This window comes from Homo sapiens, chromosome 4 (genome assembly GCF_000001405.40).
Source record: "Homo sapiens chromosome 4, GRCh38.p14 Primary Assembly".
In the NCBI taxonomy this organism is placed as follows: domain Eukaryota; kingdom Metazoa; phylum Chordata; class Mammalia; order Primates; family Hominidae; genus Homo; species Homo sapiens.
The window spans coordinates 87,721,704-87,733,442 of NC_000004.12; the positions used below are offsets into that span (position 1 = coordinate 87,721,704).

The window sequence follows — 11,739 nt, forward strand, 5'->3', positions numbered from 1 at the left end:
TCAGCCTCCCAAAGTGCTGGGATAACAGGTAGAGGCACCATGCCTAGCCAGAGCAAATATTTAAGATTTAAGGTACTTCTCTTTGGTAATTAAGCGGAGGATTTTGTTTTTGTTTTTATTTTTTTTCTTTAGTACACCTAATTGAAGTTCTTTAAAATTAACTTATGTTGAATTGATAGAGATTTCTATTAATTTGTTTATTTTTAAACTAATTAAATACGTATTTGTGAATCACTGTGTCTGCCTATTTCCATGATTCTAAACACACTGTAAGAAGCCATATCACCATTGAATTAATCAGTTGAATGGAGATGAATCTATATAAGATTCCTCTACCTGTTTTGATAACATTGGCTACAGCAACTGGACACATATTACTTTGACTACTCAGCACCTGTCTTCTAAGAATCACGCCTTAAATCTCTCTCTCCAGTCACATAATTTCTGTCCCACTTCTATACTGTGGCCCTTGGTCATAGCTGATTGGTTTACTGAGTCATGTGACCCAACCTGGGTCTAACTGTTTTTTCACCAGCAACTGCAAGAGTAAATGAAGGTGCTCAGGCTTATCACTCATAAAACAAAGTTATCACTAGTTAAATTTCTTTTTTTCTTTAAATGCAAATTGGGAAACAGAAAGCTGGGATGAAGGGAGAAAGACAAATGAAGCTAACCAGAAAATATCAGTTCTGGTTTCAACTTGTTCCTGAAGCCTATTACTGTCATTGGATTTTATCAACTATCCTAATATCTTTCCAATACATTTCTCATTTTCTCCTTGCACTAGCTAGATTTGGGTTAGTTACTTGAGATTGAAAATTACTAATTAGAAACGAATATGGAAGAACCGGGATACTGCAAAAGATAGATTCTAGCATGTGAGGCTTGAGAAATTTATAATGAGACTTGGGAATTCTGCTGCTAGGATGGGAAGCTGCAGATGTTGTGCTGTACCAAAGCAGGCAGCTAAACCATCTCCTTTGTCCGTTGGGATTCAGGCCTCATGCTCACTGAAGCTGGAGCAAGGAGGCTTTGGGACAACTTAGCAGAATGCTTGTGTGTTTAGAAGCTATAGGAAATGTGGCATTCAATGACAATAAAAAGAGACTAGCTCCCTTTATGTGGGCCCATTGGAAGGCAGAGAAGGGATATTAGAATAAGTGTGTAATCTTTTTCTTTGTTTTTGTTTTTGTTTTTTGTTTTTGTTTTTCTTTGAGATAGAGTCTCGCTCTGTCACCCAGGCTGGAGTGCAGTGGCGCGATCTCAGCTCACTGCAAGCTCCACCTCCCGGGTTCACGCTATTCTCCTGCCTCAGCATCCCGAGTAGCTGGGACTACAGGTGCCCACCACCATGCCCAGCTAATTTTTTTGTATTTTTAATAGAGATGGGGTTTCACCGTGTTAGCCAGGATGGTCTCGATCTCCTGACCTCGTGATCCACCTGCCTTGGCCTCCCAAAGTGCTGGGGTTACAGGCATGAGGAATAAGTGTGTAATCTTGTGAAGAAAAGCCATTTCCTAGCTGAAGCAAGATGTTAGAAGTTACAAAGCATGAGATGATCAGAGCCTTGCTGTACTGCAACCAGCAAATTTGCTGCAGCTTAAAAAACTAGCTAAAAAACTAAGTGCTTTGTTAAACAAAACGAGGGATCTTTGGCAATTGTAACAAAGATATTTGGTGGAAACTAAAAGAATCAGGAAGCACTGATTTTCTTTCAAAAATCGTCTGCTGCTAATTCACTGCCTGTCAAAAGACTCGGTGTTTCTCATTGACCAGCACATGGGCCAGAATATAGCCTGGGGATAGGCATGGCATTCCAGAACATATTGACTGGCTTCACTACCACCCTACCCTATTACAGAATCCTGAGGCCAATTGTATAAAGTTCAAAGCTAGCAGAAAGGGCAGAGTATTCATTTATGTTTCAAAGAAGCCAACAGTGTGGGGCCCTGCTTCAACTACAGATTCAGAGTATGGATGGCAAACCCTTCTGTCACGGGTATTGTCCAAAAAATAAGATAATCCAGCAGCTTACTACAGTTAAGGGAGTTGCACTGCAAAAAAAAAAAGTCAAGCCTTGCCCATAAGATACTGAAATTTCTTAATCCAAAAGCAACCTCCAGGAACTGACAGTACATGGACTATTAAGGTAGAATGGCCCTCCCACAGAAAAATCCTTTATTCTCAGGAATAACTCTGAAAGTCTGGATAAGGGAACTCTTAGTTGCAGCTAGAACCTGAGACAATCAGATGATCTCAGCAAAGAACTCACTCGACTCTAAAAACTGTCATATGGTATTTTTAACAATGAAAACACAAACAGAAAAAAGAAAATATCTTATCCAAGACCACAAAACTATTAAAACTGAGCTATAAACATAGGTATCTTAGTTCTGGAAACCTCATACCTATGGCATTTACTGGTTCTATTTTTCCCATCAAGATTAATCTAGAAGACAAATCCTGGTTCTACTATTCATATGATGTGCAATATTAGACAAGTTACTTAACCTCCTTGGGCCTCAGTTTCCTCTTTTTAAAGTGGGAAAGATAATAATATTGACTACCTTATGGAGTAATTATGAGGATTATATGAATAAATGCATGTAAAGCCCTTAGGCTAATGCTTGGTACTTCTACTCTGTTGTTGCTGGTGTTACTTATTGATGTGGTTTGGCTGCGTCCCTACCCAAATGTCATCTTGAATTGTAGTTCCCATAATCCCCACATGTCATGGGAGAAATCTGGTGGGAGGTAATTGAATCATGGGGGCAGGTTTTTCTTGTGCTGTTATGATAGTGAATAAGTCTCATAAGATCTGATAGTTTTATAGAGGGAAGTTCCCCTGCACACATGCTCTTGCCTGCTGCCATGTAAGATGTTACTTTGCTCCTCATTAGCCTTCTAATGTGAGGCCTCCCTAGCCATGTGGGACTGTGAGCCAATTAAACGTCTTTCCTTTATAAATTACCCAGTCTCAGGTATGTCTTTATTAGCAGCGTGAGAACTGACTAATACAGTAAATTGGTACTGACAGAATGCAGTGCTGCTATAAGGACACCCCAAAATGTGGAATCGATGTTGAAATTGGGTAACAGGCAGAGGTTGCAACACTTTAGAGGGCTCAGAAGAAGACAGGAAAATGTGGGAAAGATTGGAACTCCCTAGCAACTTGGAGGGCTCAAAAGACAGGAAGACATGGGAAAGTTAAGAACTTCCTAGAGATTTGTTGAATGGCTTTGACCAAAATGCTGATAGTGATATGGACAATAAAGTCCAGGCAGAAGTGGTCTCAGATGGAGATGAGAAACTTGTTCGGACCTGGAGTAAACGTGACTCTTGCTATGTTTTAGCAAAGAGACTGGAGGCATTTTGCCCCTGCCCTAGAGATCTGTGGAACTTTGAACTTGAGAGAGATGATTTAGGCATCTGGCAGAAAAAATTTCTAAGTAGCAAAGTGCTCAAGATGTGACTTGGGCACTGTTAAAAGCATTGAGTTTTTTTGTATTGACAAAGGTATGGTTTGGAATTGGAACTTAAGTTTAAAAGAGAGGCAGAGCATAAAAGTTTGAAAAATTTGCAGCCTGATGATTCAATAGAAAAGAAAAACCCATTTTCTGTGGAGAAATTCAAGTTGGCTCCAGAAATTTGCATAAGTAGTGAGGAGCCAAATGTTAATTGGCAAGACAATGGGATGGGGAAAATGTCTCAGGGCATGTCAGGGACCTTCACAGCAGCCCCTCCCATCACAGGCCCAGAGGCCTAGGAGGAAAAAATGGTTTAATGTGCTAGGCCCAGGGCCCCCCTCCTCTGTGCAGCCTTGGTGACCTGCATCCCAGCCACTCCAACTGTGGCTAAAAGCGGCCAAGGTACAGCTCAGGCCATGGTTTCAGAGGGTGCAAGCCCCAAGTCTTGGCAGCTTACATGAGGTGTTGGGCCTTCAGGTGCACAGAAGTCAAGAATTGAGGTTTGGGAACCTCTGCCTAGATTTCAGAGGATGTATGGAAATGCCTGGATGTCCAGGCAGAAGTGTGATGCAGGGGCAGGGCCTTCATGGAGAACCTCTGCTAGGGCAGTGTGAAAGGGAAATGTGGGGTTGAAGCCTCCACACAGAATTCCCACTGAGGCATTGCCTAGTGAAGCTATGAGAAGAGGGCCACCATCCTCCAGACACCAGAATGGTAGGTCCACGAACAGCTTGCACCGTGTGCCGGGAAAACCCACAGACACTCAATGTCAGCCCGTGAAAGCAGCCAGGGGGAGGTTATACCCTGCAAAGCCACAGAGGTGGAGCTGCCCAAGACCATGGGAACCCATCTCTTGCATCAGCATGACCTGGATGTGAGACATAGAGTCAAAGGAGATCATTTTGGAGCTTTAAGATTTGACTGCCCTGCTGGATTTCAGACTTGCATGGGGCCTGTAGCCCCTTCATTTTGGCCAATTTCTCCCATTTGGAATGGCTGTATTTACCCAATGCCTGTACCTCCATTGTATCTAGGAAGTAACTAATTTGCTTTTGATTTTACAGGTTCCTAGGCAGAAGGGACTTGCCTTTTCTCAGATAAGACTTTGGACTGTGGACTTTCAAGTTAATGCTGAGATAAATTAAGACTTTGGGGGACCCTTGGGAAGTCATAATTGGTTTTGAAATGTGAGGACGTAAGACTTGGGAGGGGCCAGATGGAAATATATTGTTTGGCTGTGCCCCCACCCAAGTCTCATCTTGAATTTTAGCTCCCATAGTCCCCATGCATCATGGGAGGGACCCGGTGGGAGGTGATTGAGTCATGGTGGATGTGCTGTTCTCATGACAGTGAATAAGTCTCATGAGATTTGATGGTTTTATAAAGGGCAGTTCCCCTGCACATGTGCTCTTGCCTGCCATAATGTGAGAGGTTACTTTGCCCCTATTCACTGTCTGCTATGATTGTGAGGCCCCCTCAGCCATGCTAAACTATGAGTCAATTCAACCCCCTTTCTTTCTAAATTACTCAGTTTTTGGTATGTCTTTATTAGCAGTGTGAGAACAGATTAATACACTTATATTGTCAAATTTTAGGTTTTGCATCAGGACAAAATGCTTTATTGCTGGTCCAAAGCTTCTGCATCCCTAATCAACTCCACTGTGTCTAAAGGATTTATATGGTGAGCCTCCTCAATACTTTCTTGCCAGCCTTCAACAAACTATTATAAATTAGATCTCCATGTGGGCCCAAACTTTAAGGGAAGAATTTTGTTGGGGTTAGAATTTGTTTTATGCCTTCTGCTAAATTTCTTTTATTCAGACCAATGGAGAATATTAATTTTAATTAGGAAAAAGAATGAATTATAGAATATTCTACATTTAATTACAGTAAAAATATATTAAAACCCTACTTTCTTACGTGATACTCAAGTAAATGTGACTTAGTTCTTTTTCTCTTGGGATTCACAACTTTGGAGGGGAGATAAATTTATACAAACCTGATACAATGTGATAAAGGTCATTAGTGGTTTGTGGAGGAGATCACAGAAAAACAAGTAATTGAGTGGAGTTTTGCAAAAGGAATCATGAAGAAATTCTAGGCCAATGTGACAGTGTGAGCAAGGGTGTGAAGATTTTGAAAATTCATTTTGTGTTTGAGAGTGCTGTGGAGTCTGGAGTAGTGACCGGGGTTTGGGGGAAAGCAACCAGAAAGGTAGGTTGGATATTGAATAGCATTAGTAAGAAAAAGCTCCTAGGAATTACTTCAATAAATAGGAAGTAATATTCTTAATTAGACTAATAAGTTTAGAGAGATGAATATTTCTAAAAGATTTGAAGTTAGTAGGCTGCCTTAAATTTCTAAAATATTTCCTTTGAAATTGTTATTTACCCTACTAATATGCTTAGATACTCTATCTTAGCCTAGAAACTGTGTACTATCAAGATTTACAGTCAAATGCTATTATTCCAAATTATATTAAGGCTCTGTTCATTTCATATTCAACAAATGACCACCAATTATTCTTTTTCTTGATCTCATTGGAATTTAAAATTTTTTCATGGTATTATATGGAGCAACATTTCTAACACTGTGTTTCATGTAAAAAGCATGTGGTCATAAGAAATTTGGGAAATATCTTAGTCTGTTTTATGTTGCTTTAACAGACAGGCTGAGTATTTTATGGAGAAAAGAGATTTATTTCTTACAGTTATGGAACCTGGGAAGTCCAAGAGCATGGTGCTGGTGTCTGGTGAGGACCTTGTGCTGCATTATTCCATAGTGAAGGGCAGAAGCAGAAGTGAGCACACAATACAGAGAAGGAGGCACCAGGGGCTGTACTTGCTTTATAACAACTCACTCTGGAAATAACTAAGCTGCTCTTGCAATAATGATGTTAATCGATGAGGGATCTGCCCTCATGACCCAATCATCTCTTATTAGGCCCCACCTCCCAACGCTACTGCATTGGGAATTAAACTTCCAACACATGAACTTTTGAATGACACATTCAAACCATAGCAGGAAACAATAGAATAAACAAAATCAACTGGATCTTGATTGCATGACTTTTCAAGGCCTTTAATATTGCTAATATTCTTTGTGAAACTCCAAAAGATAAAGTAATTAGCAATTTTTAAAATTATGTGACAAATACTTACTTAGTGCACCACTTAGTAACATCTTGAGGAAAACCAGCATTCTGTGGAATACTGAATGGCTAAAACTGTGTGAAACCATCCAAGTATCAAATGTTGCAGGTCAAAAAGCAGCCATAGCAGTTGACATACGGGCAGTCATGTGCATAGCTGAATAGTGACAATGAATTCCTTTCATTGGAAACCCTTCTTTAGGGTGGCTTGCAGAACAATAATTAATTTTATTATAGCTTGGATTCTTCCTCTAAACCATTATCTTTTCAATAAAATAAACACTGTACAGGTGCTCATTTTTATAATAACTATCTCTTTTATTTACAGGTGTTTCTTAGCTTGGCAATTATACGTTTCTCTTAGTCACAAAGGTTTGTGCTAGTAGGAAAATGGAAGGTACTTTCTGTCATTAGCTATGCATTCCCACGTTCAATAAATACATCCAGACTTATTTTCTTCTATAAGAAAAAAACGTTGTGTGCAACTTGAGGCAGTGAGGAGTGAAAGTTTTATGAAGAAGAAGTTTACAAAGCTGGCACAATGTCAGATTTAGAATCTTTTACAAATGGTCAGTTTTGAGTCTTGTGAAATACCTCCTAAATCAAAATACACAGCAGCAGGCTTAGAATTTTTATCTTTAAAAAGCTTCTCAGGTAATTATAATGCAACTGGTAGATTGGCAGACTGTAGTGGCCAGCGGAAATTTATGAAAGCTTGACACTTTTGTTCCATAACCTTTTTGAGATTCAGGTTTATGTGATACTTAACTCAGATTTACTTTGCATGCTTTAATTTTTTGGAGAATAATACAATGATATTCCAAAAAGTCTTTTTGATTTTTTTCTCACTCTTTATGGAACCATATATTATATATTTAGGTTTCCTCCACGTTTTGGTCAACTGCATTTTTCATACCATATACTCTTTTAGGAAATCTCATCTAGTCTTGTGGTTTCAACAATTGCCTCTATGCAGATGACATCTTCCCCAAACTTCAGATTATATATCCAACTCCAACTAGACTTCTCTACCTAAATGTCCCATGTAGGGACAAACGTCAAATGTAACTTGCTATCCTCTCACCCCAGTTCCACTCCTCATTCTATCTCTCAATTGGTAACATTGCCATCCACCTAGTTATCCAAATCTAAATCATAGGAGTAGTTATTTTATTCTTCCATAGAGGTCACTTTTATATTCTGATCCATGTCAAGTCCTGTTACTTCCTAAAAATTTATCGTATATGTACCTTGATTCTGCACTACTTGGTTCCCAGGTTCTGGAATCTAGAATTCAGGCAACTAATAAATATTATAATACTCTTATACAATACTTGTGTACTCATTTTTGACAACATAGTTATGAAAAAATATTAAGAAGCATTTGATTTACTAGTGAACTTTCAAATCACAACCCATTTGTAAATTAAAGACTGACTATACTAGTAATTATCAAACAAATCAATAAATGTTTTTAAATTTTTATTGTAAATATCACTGCTTGGGAAAAAAATGTTTACGATTAGAGTGAAATGAAGAGACAGGATCTTCTATAGATATTCTGAAGGGAACTTCCAGACTTTTTCAGAAGGCTTAGGAGTTTACGGTTTTGCAAAATGCAATTATTTTATTAAAACATTTGTTTCCCTCTTGCTTTTTTTTTGTCCTGTTTTTTCCTGGTGTATTTTGTGTTTGGTAGGTTAAATGGCTGGTTTCTTTGTTCCTGTGGCATTTGGACTGAGTTCTTGTTACTGGACATTAGAACTCACTTTGTCTAATAGGTGACTAAATATTTGCTAATCAAATATTCATTACCTACTGTATATGGCTGAGGGTGGAGAAGGGAATTGAGTTCCAAGGGGCCCAATGGGACTTTCTAAGGTGACAAAAATATTGTATCTAAATTGTGGTACTGGTTTCAGGGCCACATGCATTTGTCAAAACCCATCCAACTGTACTTTACTGTTTAAGTTATGCCATAATAAACCTGACTTTTTAAAAGGCTCTCAAGCAGAATGTCCCTTGTGGGCAGGTCACTTACCTGGGCGAGACTTGATGACCACGAGAGGGAAATAGGCACAAGACTGGGGCCACCCAGAGGAGTAGTGGGGAGGTTCTGACAGCAGCTCACCACCAGGGAAGGCTGACCGCAGTGGACTTCAGACCTGAGACCTTGCAATGATGGATGGAGACTTTGTCATCTGTTGGCCCCAGGAGAGGTGACAGGCAGCACCTCCCAAAACCCCATTAGGTTGTGCCCTGGCTGAGGACCATGCATCCTGAGAGCTCGAGACTCCCGCAGGTTGCTGACATGGGGGCAGCCTCCCTCCTGCTTTTATAGATACTTTAATAGAAGTATGCTGAAGCAGGTTTTGGGTTTATGAATGGATTGAAAAGAGGAGGAAATGAGGGTCAGAGAGATAAAAACGATCTAAGAAAGAGATTGCCTATTTATCTCTAAAAAATACAAGGGAGCCAATATAAGAATCAGGACTGCAGTCGACAAAAGCAGACCTATGTGGCAGGGAGAGAAACCTTGTGTGGCTTCGTCCCAGTACTGGCCCCCAGAGAAGAGTACAGTCCTGGTCATTTCCTAGCAGAGGGGGGGAAAATGCAGATGTGCTTATTTTAAAAATGGTTTTTGATGGACACCCACCAACCACACAAACCCATAAAATAGGATTCTGTACAAAGACATTCAATCCCATTCATGTTATATTGCTGAAGAATGAGTTTCAGAAGAGATGATCTATCACACGAGCAAAGCAACGTTTATGTGATACAATGCGACCACTGCACAGAGACAAACTCGAAGAGGGTGGAGAATGATGGTTTTGATTCTTTGAAGAATTTTCCTCAAAAATGCTTTTCTGTGGGTGGCATTTTAAAAAAAAAATCCATCTAGTTGTCTTTGTCTGCAACTCTATACCAGATACATCATAGGATGCTTTTGTTTCAGCCCAGAAAGTGAAATTCTGGTCTTGGATACTTTAAATGTAAAATCCAAAGAGGTCAGCTGCTCATAGGAGATGATCGGGAGTAAATGGGCCACCTAGCAGGATTCAAAGCCACAAGATTAGAGGTTGGGTAGCTCTCTTAATTCTCAAAAATTCTTATGGGAGAACCTCTAAGAATGAGAAGAGGGAAAATTAAGGCTATAAATTGTCATTCTTTTTGTCTTCTCATCTTTCCCAACACAGACATTCCCCCCTACCCTGAACTATTTTATTTATTTTTGTTTATCATCTGTTTGCATAGTTTATATCTAGTTGCAGCATTTCTTTGCAACCCAGAAGTACAATGAGGGTAGGAGACAGACAAACAAACCCTTTCCATTCTACCTGTTTCTTTCTTGTTGATTCATTCGTTCATTTAAAAAATATTTACTGGCTGGGCACAATGGCTCATGCCGGTAATTACAGCACTTTGGGAGGACAGGGTAGGAGGATCATTTGAAGCCCGGAGTTTGAAACTGGCTTAGGCAACATAGCAAGATCCCATCTCTATAAAAATAAAAATTAGTTGGGTGTGGTTGTACATGTCTGTATTCCTAGCTACTGGGGAGGCTGAGGAGGGAGGATCTGTTGAGCACAGGAGTTTAAGGCTGCAGTGAGCCATGACCACACTGTTGCACCCTAGTCTGGATGACAGAGTGAAACTCTGTCTCAAAAAAAAAAATCTACTGATTGCCTCTGATTAGCCAAGTGCTGTTGTAGGTGTGCAGGATACATCAGTGAACAAATAATCATACATTATTTCCCCCAAGGAGCTTATATTATAGTCAGGGTCAAAAACCAAAAGAACAAAAAATAAGCAAAAACGGTAACAATAAGCAAAAATAAATAAAAATAATTAAATTACTACTTATTAAAATAAATATTAATATTAATTAACTATCAATTAAATTAATTTACTTATTATAAATTTAAACATTTATCCTTTATAATGATAAATATAATAAATTTAATAATAAACATTAAAAATAAATGTTACCTAGTTTGCTGAGAGATGAAAAGAGCTGTTATGCATTAAATTGTGTTCTCCACTCCAAAATTCGTATGTTGAAATTCTAACACCCACTTCCTCAGAATGTGACATTTGGAAATAAGGTTGTTGCAGATATTACTGTGAAGTTAAGATGAAGTCATTTGGGTGGGCCCTAATCCAGTATGACTAGTGTCCTTATAAAAAACGGAAATTTGGACAGAGAGAAGCAGAGTCTCACACAGGAAGAATGCCATGTGAACATAAAGGCAGAGACTGGGTGATGAATCTGTAAGTCAAGGAACACTAAAGTTTGCCAGCAACCACCAGAAGCTAGGAGAGAGGCGCGGGATGGTCCCTCTCACAGCCCACAGAAGGAACCAACCCTGCCCTTCGGAGTTCAGACTTCCCGCCTCTAGAACCACAAGACAATGAATTTTTGTTTCTTAAGCCGCTCTCTTGATGGCATTTTGTTATAGCAGCCCTAGCAAACAAATACTGGGGCTACGAAAATTACGGAGGAGCATAAGGGGTATTGGGAATCCTTCACAGGATTCCATGAGTCATTTTTCACATAGGGAAACCAAGAGGTAACAGATGATTTTCTTGACCACCCTCACCTACTAGGAAAACCTGATTGTTGGTTCCCCGTCCTTCCCTCTCCCCAGCACTTTGTAGACATCTCCATAATGGCTCCTGTTTTAACCTGTTTTCACACTGCTATAAAGATACTACCTGAGACTGGGTAATATATAAACAAAAGAGGTTAAATTGACTCACAGTTCCGCATGGCTTGGGAGGCCTCAGGAAACTTACAATCATGGCGGAAGGTGAAGGAGAAGCATCTTTTTACATGGTGGCAGGAGGGAGAGAGTTCAGAGGAAACTGCCACTTTTAAAACATCAGATCTCGTGAGAACTCTCTCACTAACACGAGAACAGCATGGGGAAAACCACTCCCATGATCTAATCACCTCCCACCAGGTCCCTCACTTGACTTGTGGGGATTACAATTCGAGATGAGATTTGGATGGGGACGCAGAGTCAAATCGTATTGGCTCCATCAAACTGTACCGAGTGATTTATTTCTGTCTTCATCTATCTCTCCCTCACCATCTATCTCAATGAGGGATCATCT

At 39.7% G+C, this 11,739-nt stretch overlaps 1 long non-coding RNA gene across 1 annotated transcript in view; it reads right to left on the reverse strand.

Annotated features, from left to right (window-relative positions):
- Window positions 1–10,711, reverse strand: part of DMP1-AS1 (DMP1 and DSPP antisense RNA 1) — a 164,356-nt gene extending 153,645 nt beyond the window's left edge. The window contains exons 1-2 of the long non-coding RNA NR_198971.1: window positions 10,612–10,711; window positions 8,660–8,790 (exon numbers count right to left, since the gene is read on the reverse strand). This is a non-coding gene — a long non-coding RNA (DMP1 and DSPP antisense RNA 1). The remainder of the gene's footprint in view (window positions 1–8,659; window positions 8,791–10,611) is intronic.
- Window positions 10,712–11,739: the final 1,028 nt, after the last annotated feature.